Source organism: Homo sapiens, chromosome 18 (assembly GCF_000001405.40).
Source record: "Homo sapiens chromosome 18, GRCh38.p14 Primary Assembly".
Taxonomy (NCBI): Eukaryota; Metazoa; Chordata; class Mammalia; order Primates; family Hominidae; genus Homo; species Homo sapiens.
In genome coordinates this window covers 48,292,739-48,312,157 of record NC_000018.10, presented here as the reverse complement: position 1 = coordinate 48,312,157, position 19,419 = coordinate 48,292,739, and the positions used below count along the sequence as shown (strand labels likewise).

General features: G+C 49.4%; 1 protein-coding gene across 15 annotated transcripts in view, besides 3 other annotated features; it reads left to right on the top strand.

Annotated features, from left to right (window-relative positions):
* Positions 1–19,419, top strand: part of ZBTB7C (zinc finger and BTB domain containing 7C) — a 385,914-nt gene that overhangs the window by 100,428 nt on the left and 266,067 nt on the right. The gene's annotated exons all lie outside the window — the stretch shown is intronic.
* Positions 15,485–16,266: an enhancer, noted in NCBI's record as "H3K4me1 hESC enhancer chr18:45822263-45823044 (GRCh37/hg19 assembly coordinates)". NCBI's record gives its function as "activates a minimal SCP1, AML or CMV promoter by ChIP-STARR-seq in primed H9 embryonic stem cells {active_cell/tissue: H9 hESC(primed)}" and the evidence as "EXISTENCE:reporter gene assay evidence [ECO:0000049][PMID:30033119]".
* Positions 17,286–17,580: an enhancer, noted in NCBI's record as "tiled region #937; K562 Activating non-DNase unmatched - State 7:EnhWF". NCBI's record gives its function as "activates a minimal TATA promoter and a strong SV40 promoter by Sharpr-MPRA in K562 cells {active_cell/tissue: K562}" and the evidence as "EXISTENCE:reporter gene assay evidence [ECO:0000049][PMID:27701403]".
* Positions 17,833–18,616: an enhancer, noted in NCBI's record as "H3K4me1 hESC enhancer chr18:45819913-45820696 (GRCh37/hg19 assembly coordinates)". NCBI's record gives its function as "activates a minimal SCP1, AML or CMV promoter by ChIP-STARR-seq in naive H9 embryonic stem cells {active_cell/tissue: H9 hESC(naive)}" and the evidence as "EXISTENCE:reporter gene assay evidence [ECO:0000049][PMID:30033119]".

Genomic DNA, 19,419 nt, shown 5'->3' with positions numbered 1-19,419 from the left:
TGTGAGCCCAGCACGTGGGCACTGCCTGAGACCTCCTTTCATGTGCCCTGAGCAGGGACAGGCTACACGTGTAGTTGAAGGTCAGGCATTGGCTCCCTTCTAAGGGGGTCAGACCGAGCTTCACAGAGGAGGAAACCCTCCTTCTGTCCCTGAGAGATGGACAGAAACTGGATAAGCAGGTGGCAGGTCAAAGATGTCTTAAGTAGGTGGGAGAATAGCAGAAGTACAGAGATTCTTGCCTTGGAAGAGTATCTAATTGAGAAATTTCAGGAATCAAAGCAGGCTTGTTGGGGAGAAATATTTGGTCTAAAATGGCTGCTTTTTCTACTTGTCTTTATCTTATTGATGAAGAAAAATCCAAATAAAAGCAAATTTTTAATGGAATAACTTTGATATCTTTACTGTCAGCCATGCATGCCCTTGGGACCCCCAATGGTCCTAGGACTTCCCTTCAAGGTGTCAGGTAAGATCACAGATTTGCCATCAGATGTATCTTAGTGTGAGTCCCATCCCAGCCACTGAATAGCCATATTATTGGGCACATTGCTTTACCTCTCTGAACCTCAGTTTTCTCATCTGTTGTATCAAGACTGTCCTGTCCATTGTAGGACATTGAGCAGCATCCCTGGCGTCTTACCCATTAGATGACAGTAGCAACCCCCTCTTACCGAGTTACTGACAACCAAAAATGTCTCCAGACATTGCCAAATGTCTCCTGGGAGGCAAATTGCCCATAATTGAGAGTGACTATAACAGACCCTGGCTTCTTCTTAGGCAGAAAAGGCTAACTTTCATTCATTCATTTTTTTTTATTTCTTCATTCAGCAGATATTTACTAAGCACTTGCGATGGTACTGTGTGCTGGGCACTGGGAGATTTGGTGCTGAGCAAGACAAGTCATGTGCCCTCAAGCAGCTCCCACCACGGGCAGGCAGGGGGTGAGAAAGACAAGAGAACAGACATCTACTGCATCTTGGGATCTGCTGCCTTAGGAAGCAGATGGTGCTATGGGAACATGAGGAAGAGATGCCTACCCCTGGGTTTTGTTGGAGGGGTGGGGAATCTGGATCAGAGGTATCACAGAGTACTGACTGGCAGGGGCCAGGAATCCCTCCATTTCTGTTGTCGATTGAATAAATCTGGGAATGGTGAGCAAAGACTGCACATGATGTAATTTACTGCCCAAATTGGCTGAAAAGATGTGCACACATCTGTCACATAGAGGGGCAGTTACTTTGTGCTGACATTTGGAGCCAGGCAGCCAGGGGCCAGCTGATGTGTCTCCTTGGAAGGCCGAGATGTAGAGGACAAGTGGGTTGATAGGTCACCCCACAAAGAGAATGCTATTGCTGCCAGCCTGAGTTGCCAAGTGAAATATGCCCCCATCTCAGACTCCCCAGAGCAGCGGAGAGCTGAGCTAGGGGAGGCCAGGGGACAAGAAACCCCTGAGCTTTGAGGCAGATGCACTCCCAAATGTGTTCTGAACAAAAATCCAGCGAAGCAGTTTGCCTTTCCAGGCCTGTGCACTTGGGTGACAGCCCCTTCCCTCGGCATTCTGAAATAAGGCTGCTCACCATCCTCAGGGGACACACACACACACAGACACACACACAAAGAAAAAAGTCTTTCTCTCACTGGCCCTTTTAAGCATGAGGAAAGACAGAAAGGCTGCTTGTTCTAACAGTAGACTTTTTTTGGAAGTCTTGGACGTAGTTTTTTTTTTTTTTAAACCTGAATCCACTACTTATATTTCTGGTTTTAAAATCCAGACTTGCACACATAGCCTGGAAAATGGAACGCGGAAAGGATTGTTTTCACTTACTCAGGAGAGACGAGAAAGGAAAGCTCCTCAATAACCTAATAATAATAACAACAGTGATTTTTAAAATTTTGATAATGAAAAATAGGAACCAATTTTTTTTTTTTTTGAGGTGGAGTCTCACTCTGTTGCCCAGGCTGGAGTGCAGTGGCGTGATCTCGGCTCACTGCAAGTTCCGCCTCCTGGGTTCACGCCATTCTCCTGCCTCAGCCTCCCGAGTAGCTGGGACTACAGGCACCTGCCACCATGCCCAGCTAATTTTTTTGTATTTCTAGTAGAGATGGGGTTTCACTGTGTTAGCCAGGATGGTCTTGATCTCCTGACCCCGTGATCCACCTGCCTCAGCCTCCCAAAGTGCTGGGATTACAGGCCTGAGCCACCGCACCTGGCCAGGAACCAATTTTTGAGGGCTCACTATGTGCCAGGCACTTGACATTTGCAACTCTTACCAGAACCCGGCAAATAGAACTCACGGTACCATTTCCTAGGGGAGAAACTACTGAAGCTTGAAGTTGACCAACTAGAGTATTTGGTGCAGCCAGGATTCAGATCTTGGGTCTGAAAACAAATGAGAAAAATAAGATAATGTAGTACATTTTTTATAAGACTCAGTTTCTCTCTCTTAAAAGGGTTGTCCTTTATTCTGAGATTTACGTTCTTCCAACATTTTTGGCAATAAGATGTGGTCTCTTTTATGATAGCTATGGGGATAGTAGACATGCATAACATGACAATTTGGTACCGTTTCCTTTTAAAAACATATCGTATAGGTCTGTGAAATTCCCTCACGAATGAGATGCTCATGTGACAGCCTCGTCAAGAGCAGCCCCTGCTGCCACTACCCCCACTTCTGTGCTCTTCAGCATTTTTTACACTTCCTGCTTAAGGTTGTGGATTTGCCAGAGAGGGAGAATGAGGAGGAGGAGAGAGCAGGAAAAATGATAAGTGACAACCCTTAGGGCAGCAGTAGCTTTTAAAGAAAAGATTGTAATTCTGTTGAAAATTGCTGGAGAAGAGTGTGCAGTCCAAATAGGCATATGCAAATTATATGCAAATCACACCCAGCCCTCCTATTTCATAACCTGGATGTAGCCCTTGGGAAAATGCTAATGGAGACTAGTGGTCTCCGGGAAGCCTCCCTTGGTGATCTCCAGGACTCTGGCCCTAATTAAAGAGTATTTTTCCAGCAGTGCGGGGCTCCAGTGATTTTTATTTTTACAACCTCTTTTTCTTTCCCTCATCTCCGCAGTCCTGTGGCCAAGCCTGAGAGGGGTCTTCTAATTCCAGGGGTGAGGACCATGGCCAGAGACCTGGCCTGGAATGTTCTAGAATCTTCAGGTAGACCTCACCTTCTGTAGGGCTCCTGGGGTCCCAGCCCAGCCTCACCCTGAGGGGAGGGTCTGCTTAAAGCTTTGGTTCTCTGACTTAAGCATACATCAGACTCACACAGAGGGCTTGGTAAGACACAGCTTACTGAGTTGCACCCCAGAGTTTTAGATTCAGGAGGTCTGGGATGGGGCTCGAGAATGTACCCCATCAAGTTCCCAGTTGATGCTGATGCTGCTGGTCCTGAGACCATAATTTAAGAACCACTGGCCTAGAACGAACAGAACTACTCAAGGTATGGTCCACTGGTACTGTTTGTTACCAGTCTGTGACACAAGTACAGACATTGACAGTAAATGCTTAGAAACCCTTATTGAAGTTTGGCATTGCTGTGACATCTTAAACATCTGACTATTTTTCTATCAGTTCATTTTTATTGTATTTTACAAACGTATTGGTCCAATTGGAAACTCTGGCTGAGAGGACCCAGCCTAGTAATGGTCAGAGTTCAGGGCAGCCCCCAGGCTGGCAGGAGACTCGGGATGCCCACTGAGAAACCAAGGCAGAAGGACTCTGGCCAGCCTGGGCATGGGGTGGACTGACCCCCAAAAGTGGAAAGGTGGGAGGGAGAGGCAAGGGCAAGAGGTCATCCTGCCCTAAATGCCAGTAGAATCGCCCTTTGAGGAACAATAGCTGGGGAAGGGCAGAGCTAAGGAGCTGGCCTAACTCCAAATTGCCTGCCTTTCCTCTGAGATGGGGAATCTGGGGGCAGGGAGTGGAAGAAGCACTGGTCAGACTGGTTCAACCAAAGTAGCCTTGTCTGTACATACCTAATCTTGTGTGTGTGTGGGTGTGTGGTGGATGGCCTTGCATGGCTGACATGGGAACTCACATGGCCATACATGGCTGGTGTCTTTTGGGTGCCTCTTCCTTTATGCAAAATGAGTATACAAAAGTCCAACTTAGAAAAGGGATAGATTGGCATGGTCTTATGAGGTTAATTCATTTTTAAAAGCATTAATTGTTGGAGTCCCTGCTACATAAAAAATGTACCAAAAATGTAGTCTATGCATGGCTTCCACGACAGCCATTGCATAAAGAGATACCTGTTCTTACAGAGGAAGGCAGCAGAAAAGTACAATTTATTTATTTATTTATTTATTTATGAGGTGGAGTTTCGCTCTGTTGCCAGGCTGGAGTGCTGTGGCGTGATCTCAGCTCACTGCAATCTCCGCCTCCCAGGTTCAAGCAATTCTCCTTCCTTGGCCTCCCAAGTAGCTGGGATTACAGGTGCCTGCCACCACGCCCAGCTAATTTTTGTATTTTTATTAGAGACGGGGTTTCACCACGTTGGCCAGCATGGTCTCGATCTCTTGACCTTGCCATCCACCCACCTTGGCTTCCCAAAGTGCTGGAATTACAGGGGTGAGCCACCGCACCCGGCCAGAGGTGGGTTTTAAACAGCATTATACATTGCTTAGAAGGCTCTGACAGCAGTAAATACCATGATCATAAGTCGTCTAGCTGGAAGTGCTCAGGTCTAAGAGTCTGGGACTTGGTAGCCCATCTTGGCATGGGCCCTGACCAGTCCCTGGCCTGGGCAAATCCTTTTCAGCTAGGAAAGGAAGTTCTGTGATTCCAACCTGCCATCTTTGTAGACAAAGTTTTGACAGTTTATGGTGACAGTGTGAGAAGTAATTAGTTGTCTTGTGCCTTTGGGCATATGAGGAGGCTACTGGCTCTTCAAGCTCAGAGTCGTAGAACACGGAGCCTGGAAGGGGACATAGCATTCATCAGCCCTTAGTTTTATAGTAGTAGAAACTGAGGCCCTGGAGGTCCTGGAATCTGCCCCAAGTCGAGTTTGTATTAAGGCAGGCAGCCCAGCCTATTGTTGGAGGCTTACCATATAATTAATGGGATTTGGAGCAATTACAGGGACAGTAAAGCCCCTCATTTGTTTCTCATGCCAGGCATGAGATTCCTTAGGAGGGTGGAGTGGGAGAGTGGAGGGAAGGTGGTAAGGAGGTGGCAGATAGTTGGCAGATCGTCTCTTGCCGGGCCTGCTCCGTGGAACACTGGCTAACATTTTTACACTGTGTGCCTCAGAGAATTCCGATGCAAAGGGCATATCTGTTTTAAGTACCCACCTATTTTTCCTTTGGGGATAATTCTTGTTGGGTTTTAATCTAGGCTTTAAAGAACCTGCTTTTTTGTTTTGTTTTGCTGTCAGCACCACGTAAAAGGTAGGCATCGTTCTAGGGAGGGATAGCTGGGCTCTGACCCCATACCTGGGGACAGTTCCTGAGCTCAGCTACATATTCACTTGTAGGAGAAGAGGAGAGGACAGAGATTTGTGTTGTGATAAGAAGATAAGCATATTGGACAGATGATTGACAGCTATATGGAATTCTATATGGAAGTCAGAGCCTAGTAAATTCCAGGTACCTGAATACTGGACTGTTCATTAATTCAACAAATATTTATTGAGCATCTAATATTTCTCACTGTGCTAACTGGAAATACAAAAAGTTTTGGAGACTAGCGGTGATATGGTTGCACAACACTGAGAATGTACTTAATGTCACTAAACTGTACACTTACATATGTTTAAAGTGGTAAATTTGATGTTGTGTATATTTACCACAGACACACACAAAAGGTAGCAAAACAGAATTGGGTCCCTTCTTCCAGGAAGTAGCTGGTGTTCTGCAAACTCTCCCTAACTGTGGCTGAGCCTGGACCATGGGTGTTAATGATCACAGTGGGAGTCACGAGGAAATCTTACCCAGAGCAGGCTGAGGAGAGATCACCCACCCTCAGCCCATTAAAGGAGGTGTCTACATAGCAGAGGGTGCTGACTGTCAAATTTCTTGCTAAAATGTGATTTTGAGATGTTGCCTGCATAGGGAGTGTGCTCAGGTTTGAATTTCTGTTTGGAACTAATGTTTGTTCACAGACATTTGCAGGTGTGAAAACCTTGGCGGTTGCAATCATGGTGACACCTTGAGCTCAGGCTCTGTTTGTTTGTATTTTTTCTTTTCAGGATGTTTCTGAGCATTTCTCTTGCAAAAACTTCAGTGAGCTCGGGCTACATAGCATCATCCTTGGCTTCCTTCATGTTTCCTGTGGGCTGGCCACCAGTGGACATGCCACCCTTGGGGCTGAGGGGAGTAGGCAAGTGACCTGAGCTCCCTGAGCCTCTGGGCAAGTGACTTGAGCTCCCTGAGCCTCAGTTTCTCTGTCCATACCAAATCCTTAGGAGGTCTAAGCACACATGATGGAGGGTGAAGTATTTAGCCACAGGTCTGATGTTCATCCACTCTCCCTAACTGTCAGCTTGGAGTATTTCCACTTACTTGGGCATTAGCACATCATGTCTTACAGGTAATAATGCATTATTACCTAACATCTTCCCATGTTACTATTCTCTCCACTTGGATTCTATAGCACCCAGGAGGGGTATCACCTCCTAGTATGTCTGACGTGTCTCACGCGGTGCTGGGCACTTGGTAGATGCTCAGCAGATATTCAGTGATTATGCATAGTTTGTTCATAAAGCTACGGTCTGGGCAGTATTTCCCAGGATAGAACTTTAGCTTGCCCGCAGCAAAGCCCAACTCCAGGTCCCTGAGCAGAACCATCCTGGGGACCTGACAGTCCCACGTAAATCACAGATTCCTACTCACTATTTAACCTTTTGTTTTGGAACCGTAGCTCTGGCCTCTTCAGAAGGTCTCAGGTATGGATGGCTGGGTCACCCAGCAACAGCCACGCAGATAATTACACGGATTTCAAATTGTTCCCCACTTTATGTCCTCAAAGCAATTTCAGAATCAATTTGAGGTTTGACAGGGAACAGTGGAGGTCTCGCAGGCCTGGAATGGCGTGCTGGACCTACTTAATGCTCGTTATAATTCCAGTGGCAGGCCCCGCGCACCTGGGGAGCAGGGGCGCTGTCCTCTCTTGCAATTCAGGAAGAAAATCAATCAATCAATGAGAGCACAGCTAATTAAAGGTAACAAAGGCTCGAGGCACCTCAGCCCTCCCTGCAGAGTCAGGCCTGTTCAGCACTAGTAGGAAAACCAGGCTTGTCTCAAACAGAATTAAAATGAAGTCAAGGTGTCAGAAATCAAATCTAACAAGGCTATCTTTTTTTTTTTTTTTTTTTTTTGAGGTAGAGCCTGGCTCCCATTGTGCAGGATGGAGTGCAGTGGTGTGATCTCGGCTCACTGCAACCTCCACCTCCCAAGTTCAAGCGATTCTCCTTCCTCAGCTTCCTGAGCAGCTGGGATTACAGGTGTGCGCCACCATGGCAAGCTAAGTTTTGTACTTTTTTCTGAGACGGAGTCTCACTGTGTTGCCCAGGCTGGAGTGCAGTGGTGCGGTCTTGGCTCACTGCAACCTCCGCTGCCCGGGTTCAAGCGATTCTCCTGCCTCAGCCTCCTGAGTAGCTGGGATTACAGGCACCTGCCACCATGCCTGGCTAATTTTTGTATTTTTAGTAGAGACAGGGTTTTGCCATGTTGGCCAGGCTGGTCTCGAACTCCTGACCACAGGTGATCCCCCACCTCGGCCTCCCAAAGTGCTAGGATTACAGGCATGAGCCACCACGCCTGGCCAAGGCTATCTTTTTTTAACAACAGGTGTGTCCCCCACATTGGTGTGAGGAACGCCTTCCTAGGGGCAGTCTTGAAGTGGATTTAGATGGTTACTCTGGTCTCAGTAAAGTAATACAACTGGAAAAAGCACTTGAGGCTATCCCTGTTTTGTGATTGGGGGTACACCAGGTGCAAGGTACCCCTCATAAACTGGATCAGAACATTAGAAGCAGGCAGCTGGGCTTATGCTCTGTGTGTGGGGCCCCTGCACATAGAGAGGCCATGGAGTATGATGGTTAAGGTGTGGGCTCTGGCCCAGACCCCCTGGGTTCATTCCTGGCTTTGTCACCCACTTGCCAGGGGACCCTGGGCTGGTCGCTGCAAGGTCTTCATCTGCAAGATGGGGGTGGTCGTAGCTCCCACCTCTGGAATCTTTGGAAGATTACATGAGTTAGCGCTTGTTAAGGGCTTAGAACAGCACCTGGCACAGAGTAAAGCCTTGCTACTCTTATCACAGAACCATTTCCCTAACAAGGGAACTGGTAAAACTATCCTTGACTTTGCAAGAAGTGAGATAAGTTTATTTTTGGTTTCACCTTGAAAAAGGGATATGGAGACCCAGAGGGGTGAGTTAACCTAAGTTCACAGAGCAAAGTGGAAGTGGGGCTAAGCCTGGAGTCAAGGCCCCATCACTGCTTGGACCAAGTGCCATCTGAGTTGTGGAGCTTATCCTTGGCCTACCTGGCCTCTGCCCAGCCTATTGCTCCCCTCCACCCAGCCACCCCAGGCTCCAACCTTCTTCTAAGCTTTTCTCGGATGTCTTCCACCCCATCTCTATTCTTATGGCCATGATAAACTCAAAGCCTCATCTTTTGTGGAGTAGTTTGTATTTGATAGTGTTAACACCTTATGCTAAAGGAATGAACTTGTAGTGTCAGGAACCTGCTCACAAGTTGGGAGGCATCTGGGGAGGCAGAGAAAGTCCTAGGCCCTTGCTGTCACACCATATAGCATTTGGCCTACTTCCCACTGACCCTGTCTTATAGATAGATTCTGGAGATAAAAAGGAGCCCCTGAGTCTCATCAGAGGGAGGTTGGGGAGCCTTGGTGATTCTCAGGGATCACTGCCTGCTTTGGCTCTTCGCCTTTTGTTTTGGGAACCTTTGACTGTTATGACTGGCTTACCTTCTTCTGGCTCCTCCACTCTCATGAGAGATCAAGTCAAGGAGCAAGACAGAAACAGTGAAGTCATTGGCTATTGAGGTGCACAGAAGTCAAGAAATTCCAAGCTGTGTCCTCCACAGAAGGTGCAAATTGGTCTTCTTGCATGGGTGCACATTAAGCACTCCCAGTAATAGGGAAGCGAGGGAGGGGAGACAGAAGCTTTGGCAGCCTGGCCTGCTGGAACTGCTGGTCCAATGCCGCTTCCATCCTCCCCTGTCTTGCATCATTCCTAGCACTGTGAACGCTAATGGGACTAAAAGCTTCAAAAACCAGAGACTGCATTTGGATTGTGGGCCCTGGGGTTGCAAAGTGGGGCTGGTTCCTGATGACTTCAAGCCAGAGGATGCAGCAGCACAGAACTGCAAAGAAATGGTTTCCAGACACCTGCCAGCTCCTGGTTTTCCCAGGACTTGCTTAGCTGCCAGCAAGACTGGAGTCAACTATGGACTATGGTTTTTGGGGGAAAGGCCTTTGTGGAGGGATGTTGTGAGAACCACATGAGAAGTTCAGGTTCAGACTCAAATATCTAACTCCAGCCAATCTGTGCTGGTGCACCACATAGAGCGTGGACGTCGATCCGGCCTGACTTAGCTAGCTCTCTATTGAACATGCTGTGCAATGAGAAAAATTATTTTGCCTGCTGGTGTTAGTGTTCTCTGAGGGGAGGAACTGCTTTCATTTAAGAACTACCTTGATAGGTCATTTGGGTGAGAAATGAGGCCTTGTGGGCATGAGTAGAAAGAGAAAAAAAATTATATATAGAGAGAGCTCTTCTGTGTAAATCTGTGCAGGAATTGCAGTAAAAAGGGAGAGAAGGTGGACTCGCTTGAAGGCTGGGATTGAGTTAGTGGAAATGGCCAAGGGAAGTCAAGGAGCAGGAGCCGTCAGCTCTTCAGTTTAAAGTATCTGACAGCCCTATCCTCTCCTGAAGCCAGACTCCAGGGGCGTCCACTCTCCTCACTGGCCTGTGTGTCCCTTTCTGGGGAATGGGGAGGAACCTAGGAGAAGGGACTGGGGCTTCTGCACAGGGGATTATAGGACAGAGTTAAAAGCCAGCGTCAACTCCTGGAGAAGGGAAGGAGAATTCTGCAGAAGCCAGAGGTAATGAGAAATACACCCCCCTGAGAATTTGCAGACATCGTGGGGCTGGGTGTGGGCTTTCCTAAAAGCCGGGGAGTGGCAGTTGTTACCCATCTTCTAGGTGGGAAAGGAGCTGGTTTCCAGATGCTTCCTGAAGACTCTCGCCTTTATGTCCCTGAGGTCTGTCCATCAGAGCGCTGCTCTAGCTGACCCTGCCTGCTGGCTGGTCTCCAGGCTGGGCTGTGGCCTTCCTTGCCCTGGGGAGCTATGGTGAGAACCTCTGCTTGCTGCTTCATCCCCAGTTCCTTCAAGACAGCAAAGACCTTGCAATTAAAAGTAGAGACTCACCAAGAAAAGTCAACACAATCTGATATCTGCAGAGAACCCCCAATGCCTCTCATCCAGCTGTGCATCTCATCAGTCATTTTCGGTAGTGTCCATGACAGACAGCCACTAGCCTCGCTTAAATATTCCCAGTGCCCGTAGGCTCACTATGTTGGCTAGTGACAATGCCACTCTCACATAACTCGGCTGGGAGGTTCTTTGTGAGATGGAGCCACAGTCCATACCCACTCCCCCACTCCTCCCTCAGCCCCCTGCTGAGGTACTTACCATGGCTTGCTATTTATTTTGAGATGGAGTCTCACTCTGTCGCCCAGGCTGGAGTGTAGTGGTGCGATCTTGGCTCACTGCAACATCTGCCTCCTGGGTTCAAGCAGTTCTCCTGCTTCAGCCTGCTGAGAAGCTGGGATTATAGGCGTGTGCCACCACACTCGGCTAATTTTTCGTATTTTTGTAGAGACAGGGTTTTGCCATGTTGACCAGGCTGGTCTCGAACTCCTGACCTCAGGTGATCCCCCCACCTCAGCCTCCCAAAGCGCTGGGATTACAGACCATGCCTTTTTACTCTGGCTCCTTTTCCCTGCACAACAAATAGCCCTTCTGGAGTGCCTGTGGCCACCTTTCTTATCCTTTGAGTTCTCTTCTGGCTGAACATCTGTCCCTCTCCCATCTTCTCATCTGTCACAGGTGCCTGGGTGCCCAACAACAGACTAGTAATGGCATTCCTCACTCACAACTAGTAACTCAACCTTACTGAGTCCTCAGAGGGCATTTTCAGTGGATGGTCAAATAGGCAGTGTCTTTTACTTTCTGAAAACCTCCTAAAAGCCAGGCCCAGCTGTGCCTGCCCACATCCTCTTGGAGGTACATTCTCAGCCCAGGAAGGCCTTTGCTTTGCAGCGAAGCCGTCCTATGGGCTTCTGATGCACTCTGCCCTGGCAGTGTCCTTCTCGTTGTCCCCTTGCTGTGCTCCTGGCCAGCCCTGCCTGTCTGCTGCCTCACAGCCATGTTCCAGGCATGTCTGTTTATGGGCAGGGCAGCCACTGCCTACTTGTGGAGGTTTGAAAGGAACAGGGGCTGTCCTCTTCTGCCTTTCTTCCCGGCATTTTTTTTGCCATTCATTTCCTGTCTGCATGTCTTTTGTCACTTGCACCTCCTCCTGGCCCCGCCCCTCTAGCTCTTCCTCTTCTAGGGAGCCTCCCTGCTTGGTATCTGTAGCAAGAGTAAAAAAACGACCTGGCTGGGGCCAAGGGACTTCACCAGCTGTGTGGACTCAGGACTTGTTTCCTCAGCTGCAAAATGAGGGTGGAATCGGATGCCCAGCTCCACCAGCATATGGTTTCCACTTTGGACAGAAACTTCTGTTTTCCTATTCCAGAGGCTACAAACTCCCTGCTAGTAAAGCTCTGTTTCACAAGGGAGACCACATTCACAACTCATCTGCCTGGGGGAGATGATTGATATACCCTGGAACTCATGAAAAACCTAGCCAAGTGTTCCTACCTCTGGCTTCACCTTCAGATCACTTAAGGAGCTTTTAAAATATACTGATGCTTGCACCCCACCCCGAGGGAGTCTGATTCAGTTGGACCTGGGTGGGGCTCAGGCATCTTCATGACACTGATACAGAATGAAGTTAGAACCTCCGCTCCTGGGCCCTGCCACAAGCTTTGCTACTTGAAGTGTGGTTCTCAATGCAGTAACAGCAGAAATGCAGAATCTTAGGCTTCACCCCAGACCTCCCAACTAAAGTGTGCATACTAACAAGGCCCCAGGGGATTCCTATGCCATTTGTCATTTGGGGAGCTCTGCTTTTGCCCTGTAAGTGGTCTTTGAGGATTCCCTTAGCTTATACTATCTGTTTTTCATAAGCAACCACAAATCCATTTTGGGGATAAATGTGGCATAAAAAATTGTATCCAATGTCAGATGATATTAACTTGCAGGAAAATAGATGTCACATCTACTCATGAGCCATTTTCACTTCACTTCCGTGAACTCTCTCTCCCCACAGGGCCTTTGCACATGCTGCGCTCTGCCTGGCATATTCCCATCCTCCTTCAGCCTCTTCATCCTCCCTTTCCCCTGGCTGTTTCCTACTCACCCACAGCTGGACTGGCCTCTGGGAACTGGTTTTTGTCCAGTCTGCATCCTTTGCCACTCTCATCTCCCATCCACGACTCCCTGTGTCTCCCATGCCTTGGCCCAGGTGAGGTGGGGGCAAGAACCAGGTTGAGTTATGAGAAGATCCAACTGCAAAGTTCAGTTTCTCTCTTCACTTCCTTTGTTACTTCCCCTCATTTTCCTCATGTTTATGCAAGAAGAGGCTAAGAATATACCTTTTCTGTTCTCCCTTCGGTGGATGTTGTGATCAAATGGAGAAACAGATGCCTTCTAAAGTATGAAGAATCCACAGAATGTCATGATGGTTCTGGAGGCAGGAGAGGGAGCTGCAAGGATGTCATGGGTGTGAGGACAGCATGGCCCTCTTGCCCAGTAATTATGGGGATAAGTTTTTTTCCCTGCATGAGTGTTGAGCATTAAATGTGTGGAAAGAGTCATAGCTCCCAGACCCAAGAGTACCTTTCCCTCTCCTCCAGGCCTCTCCCTCTGATTCCTGTTACCAAGTGATGCCCTCCCATTTCACTATTTTCTGCTCCTGATGCTGCCCTGGGCCCCTAGCTTCCACCCCATCAGGGTTGGGACCTCTGTGGGTGCCTCTTTGAGGTAGGACAGGACTGGGCGCTTGTGTCTGTGCCTTAGAGGAGAATATGGTGAGGCTACGTAGGAGGGCCTGGAAGGCTTCTGTGCAGCTGACCACTGCCTAATTCTGAACTCCCTGGACAGGTGACAAAGAAAGATGTGATGCACACATGCCCTGGATCACTGCTGTGCTCTGCTGTTCTTCATTCCATAGATAGCTTCTGATGAGAACCCAAGTGCTCCAGGATGGATCTGCAGAGCCCAGAGGAGACTGCGAACTAGGTTACAAGCAGAGAAAGGGGCCAGAGCAGGGCCAGACACTGGCCTACCCTGCTGAGGGAGACTATACCCCAGAGGGCTCCGGTGGGTCAGCCTGCTGGGCACCCTGAGCCACTGGCCCCTGGGCTCCTGTCTCAGTTGCCTTGGTTGGAAATGTTGAATGTGGGGCTGGGACTATCACCAAAGTGCATGAGTGGTAAGGATGTGGCATTGGTCTGGGCCATCAACAGGGAGGGGAAACTGTGGGGACAGAGCAGCTGGGTAGAGTGCCAAGAAGCATGGCTGGATGTGTCCCTATGTGGAGGTGGGCGTCAAGATGGGGCAGCCTTAAACAGCCAGGTATAGCACTAGATGGCCTCCAGAGCCCAGCCCACTCCATGAGTGCCCACTGTCATCTTCCCTGATCAGAAAAGGCCTGTGCCCTCAAAGGGAAGGACAGGGGGCAGGTCTGTCCCCAGGAGGACAAGTAAGGCAGCCATCAACTCACACTTTTTTTTTTTTTTTTTTGAGACAGAGTCTCGCTCCATTGCCCAGGCTAGAGTGCAGTGGCTCGATCTTGGCTCACTGCAACCTCCACTTGCAGGGTTCAAGTAATTCTCCTGCCGCAGCCTTCCGAGTAGCTGGGACTACAAGCATGTGTCACCATGTCTGGCTAATTTTTTGTATTTTTAGTAGCGATGGGGTTTCACCATGCTGGCCAGGCTGGTCTCAAACTCCTGACCTTGTGATCCACCTGCCTCAGCCTCCCAAAATGCTGGGATTACAGGCGTGAGCCACTGCGCCCGGCCTCAACTCACAGTTTTACTTTGATATTAGGACACTCAGTGACTGCACAGACAAGAGGTGGAGTTTGCATTTCATAACTACCATAGGCATATAATGTGTGACACAGGCCATACCCAAATGAAGGCACACATTTTCATACAGGACCACCTCAGAGGCAGCAAAAAGCCTGACCCAACCCAAGTAACATTTTATCCTCTTAATGAGCGTGTAAACAGAAGGAGACTTCATGAAGTTCATGTTTCTGCCTTCCTGCAGGGACATTAGCAGGCATTGATTTTTAACCGTGATGTATGGCACTTCTGACTGAAGGGGACAATGCCATTTGGGAGTCTGTGAGGTTTAAGACGTTCTGCAGTTGCCCGGCACTGCAGCGCTGCCAAGCCCTGCTCTAATAGCACCTAATTTGTTAGGGTAACAGGGAAATGGCTGTGATTGCTGCCATGTTCCAGACGAACATGGCAGCACATCCCACCCAGCACTGCTTCCCTTTGGGTGGAAGTAGAATGGGGGAGAGAGAGGGACAAGTAGAAAAGTCAGAGGCAATGAACAGCCGATGCATGACAGAGCCTCTCTCCAGGGAAGGGCAGTGGGGAGTGGGACCAGAAACGGGCCCTCAGGGACTTCTACCGTGTCTATAAGAGTCTATACAAACAAAATCCAAAGGCAAACACAGCATACTACTAAGATATGACGATGCTGGGTGGGGTTAAAGGATGTTTGTTATGTAAGTCACCATATGTCAATACTTTTGAAATATTTTGTAATTAAACAACAATGTAAAATAAAAAATAAATCCAAGGTCCAGGGCATCTTGGGTAGTAAGCCACTCTTTGTGTAGGAGAGAGAGCACTCTAGAACATGCGGGCATATGTGCTGCGTGTCTCTAGACCAGCAGCCCCTAACCTTTTTGGCACCAGGGACTGGTTTCGTGGAAGACAAATTTTCCACAGACGGGGTGGGGTGGGGGAAACTGTTCCACCTCAGATCAACAGGCATTAGTTAGATTCTCAGCTGGGACTACAGGTGTGTGTCACCATACCCGGCTAATTTTTGTGCTTTTAGTAGAGACGGGGTTTGGCCATGTTGCCCACGCTGGTCTTGAACTCCTGGACTCAAGCCATCTGCTCACATGCATGGTTCACAATAGAGTTCGCGCTCCTGTGAGACTCTCATGGCTCTGCTGATCTGAAAGGAGGTGGAACTCAGGCAGTAATGCTGGCTCCACCCGCCGCTCACCTCCTGCTGTGTGGCCTGGTACCTAACAGGCCACCCGCCACTACCAGACTGTGGCCCCGGGGACTGGGGACCCCTGCTCTAGACAGACTCATAGGACATGTGTGTCATAGGACACGGCATTGGGAGAGCACCCGAGACTCGGGAACGTGCTGTGGGAGAGGAGCTTCTTTTCACTATGTGGCCTTGAAGGTTTTTGGGATGCTCCATCGTGTGCCTGTATTACCTAATTTTTAAAAATAATGTAATTAGTTTCCAAGACTTCAGAAAAGACAAATAGAGATGGGAGAGGAAAACAAAAGGAGACATCTTAAAGGAAAATAAAAAAGGAGATGAGGAGAGAAGAGCCTCTTGAAATGCTAGGACTCAGCCTTAGGCTTGGTGGTGAGGGTTAGCGGGGACCACTAGAGGCTCCCGAGTGAGGAGCCCTTTCTGAGAGCAGATTTCTGAGGGCACAGAAAGGGAGCCTAGAGGAGGAGGCTGCCACCCTGCCTGGCACAGGGTTCCATGGGATGCCCCCTCCCCATCCTGCATGGGGAGCAGCCCAGGCCTGCCTGGCAGCCATCCAGGGGGCCTGAGCAGGTGGTGGGGGGTGGTGAGAGGTTGGGCAGGTGCTGAGACCAAGGCGCATGGGCATGGCAGGTGGTTGGTGAGGCCCAGGCCACGGGCCATCTTCAGGGGGAGGTGCAGCCCCAGGAGGGAACTCTCTGGCTTGGAGGTAGCTCCCCTGTTGGACACTGACTGTGAGGTACCAGTGGAAGGGAGGGATTTATGCTATGGAGATGACCGAGCCCGGGATCCTAGCCAGTCTCTAATTGGGCCAATGCAAAACTCCGTCCTAGGATTGTTCAGATACTTGGAAGATATGTCTTTGTGTCTTTGGGATGGGTCCCCCACCTGACCCCTATCTCTTCCCCACTCGCCTGCGACTGCCCCCCTCCTGCTGCTGCTGGGCTGAGGGAGGAGGAGAAGCCAATGCGGACAGTGAGGGGCTCTTTCAGCTGCGTTGGCTCAGGCCTGCCACCTAGAGTTTCAGCTCCTTGTGAATTCCAGGCTGCTCTAGGCCTCTGAAACCATTTCAGCCCCAAAGTGAGCCAGGCCAGTAAAATGAGCTTTGTAAAGTTTTGTTGAATTGAATTTGACCACCAAGAGTTGCTTGTGTGTGGCAGCGGGTGGGTCAATTGTGCCTGACTTCCTCAGCTAAAAACAATCTTAGCCTGAGTCCTCTTGGGCTTGGGTCCTAGAAGGCCAGGCGTTCTGGGTCTGCCGGGGAAGGGAGAGGCTTCTAGCGCCCAACGCCACTGGATCCCGCCTTCCTCACATGACGCAGAGGAAACATTCTGGAAGGAGCACCCCACGAAGAGGCCACCAGGGACTGCTACCTCCACCTCCACAAAATCATGCTGAGTAAGCTAGAAACATCATCTGTGCAAGCCCCACGGAATGGTGTTAGAGATATCTGGAGCCTCAGTTCTGAAATGTGGCCCCTGGGCCACAGCAGCTTTACCTGGGGACTCATCAGAATGCATATTCCCAGGCCCACCCTGGACCTACCGAAGACTCCGGGGCATGGCTGGGTGCTCTGTGTTTAACAAGACGTTACTTGCAGGCAATGCTGATGTGTACAGAAATTGAGGCCTGGGCTTCTCCCCTGTGGAGGGGAAAGAGACAGGCAAGTGCAGTCAGAAAGCTTCCTGAGTGGCACTGACTTTCATGCCCAGGCCTGGTGTGTGCCCTCTCACCTCCTATTTTTCAAGCAGAAGCAGGATGCCCCAAGCAGGGAAATATTCTCTCCAGTGTACTGCAGCCAGCTTGCAGTAGGCAGAAATCAGAGCTCACGGTTCCTAATTCCTATTCAGTTGCTGAAGTTGTATAAATGAAAAAGAGGAGGCCAAGTGGCAGGGCAGCAGATTCAGGGAAGGTACAGATTAAAATTTTGGGAACTAATAACTCACTTAGCTGACTCATGGAGCCAAGATAGCCTTCCCTGCCACAGCCCTGGGGCTGCATGAGATCAGCTGGAATAACTGTCCTGCTGGTGTTGGGGGAGGGGTGAAGCCCTCTGTGTGGGGACAAGCAGTGACCAGGAAGGGAGGGGTGGGGGGCAGGTCAACAGCAGGCATGCCCTGATGTGGGGACCTTACCGTGTGGGTGGAGGGCAGCTGAGCGCCAGGTCCATCTCAGCTGCTAGAGAGCCTGGCAAATCCTCACAAATGGCCTCGCTCTGGGCTGCACCCAGCATTGTAGGAGCGGCAGGGACAGCTGGGAATTGCACTTCCTTCCCAGCACTGGCACCAGAGGAGCTGGCCTGGGGCACCTGTCAAGGGGATCAACATTTGGAGGCTTGTGTTATAATGGGAGCCAAGCTAGAAACAGAAAAAAACTCACCTAGGAACGGGGCCTGGGAGTGGGGGTGGGGGTGTGCAGGATTAATTTAATTAAGCCCTGCTTTGGGGACCAGGCTAAATTTAGTAGCTGCTTCGGCTGCTGGTTCAACGCCTTTCCCACAACTCCCTCCCATCTGCCCATTGTGCCTTCCGCAGGTGATTAATTTCAAATTCCAGGCTGGCATGTGCACACGCACCTGCTGATTGCCTAGTCCCCTCTCCAAGCCTCTGCTAATGTGCTCTCCGGGCTCCCAGGGGAAGGTGCATGCTGAACCACGCCAGCAGCTTGCTTGCCCTTCCCCAGGGAGGTAAACACCGCATTCGTGCTAATGACTCCCACGGTGGCCATAGCAGGCCCAGGCCCAAGCTCCAGCACCTCACCCAAGAAACACGGCCACAGCGGGCCTGATCTCCAGCTTGTTCATTTCATTGTTCTAGGTGAAGTTTAAACAAAAGGTTGAAAGGCTGGGCATCGTGGCTCATGCTGGTAATACCAGCACTTTGAGAGGCTTAGGCTGGAGGATTGCTTGAGGCCAGGAATTTGAGACCAGCCTGGCCAATATAGCAAGACCCTGTCTTTATTTATATTTTTTTTTCTTAAAGGTTGAAAAGTGTGCTAATGTTCTGGACCGAAGTGACTGAGACTACTAGAGTTTAAGCCTGTGCCTCATAGGGATGAGGGGAGAGGATTCTCTTACCCCCATTTTTGGTCCAGTTCTACACTCTTCTTCTTTGATGATTTATACTTGGTCTGTTCAGTCTTTGGACTGCTTTTATTCTAATTACCATCGCGCCTATTTGGGGAGCCATTTTGAAGTTTATTAGTATCTCCCCCAGATTTAAATTGTGTCAAAAAGAGAAGGGAATTGGGTGGGAGATGCTGCAAACAATACTAAGTGCCAGACGATGATTTATGGGTGCCGTGGCCTGAATGTTTAAACGTTTATGTCCCCTCAAAATTCCTATGTTGAAACCCTAATTCCTAATGTGATGATATTTGGGGATGGAGCATTTGAGAGGTGAATAGAGTCAGATGAGGTCATTAGGGTAGGGTGCTCATGAATGTTCTTGTAAAAAGAGGAACAGACTGGAGACATCTCTTTGTGTGCATGCAGTGAGGAAGGCCAAGTGAGGACATGAGCAGTAACGGAAATCAGCCAGCAGCTTGATCCTGGGCTTCCCAGCCTTCAGAACTGGGAGCAATACATTTCTAGTTTTGAAGCCACCCAGTCTATGGTATTTTTGTTATGGCAGCCCACACGGACTAAGACAGTGGTTTAGAGCACTTGTTTATCAAATGTTTGTTGAGTATTTCTGGTGGGCCGGACATTGTGCCAATGCAGAAGCTGTAATGCTGAGTGAGACACAGTTCCTGTCTCAAGGAGCTGATATTCTAAGGGAGTGAGAGATAAGCAAAGCTGACCATGGCAGGGGTGGGGGTGTCACCACAGTGCTTGCCACCGAGTGAGGGCTCAATGAATAGCAGCAGCAGTAATAGTAGTAGATTTCAATGCTTTATGCTGGGAGCTGGGCTCAATGGGTGAGAGCATGAAGGAGCTTTCTTTTTCTCACCTTGCTGTTTTCCATACCACTCCATGGACTCCTTTCCAGCTCCTGAATCAAATCTAGCTTTTCTTGTCAT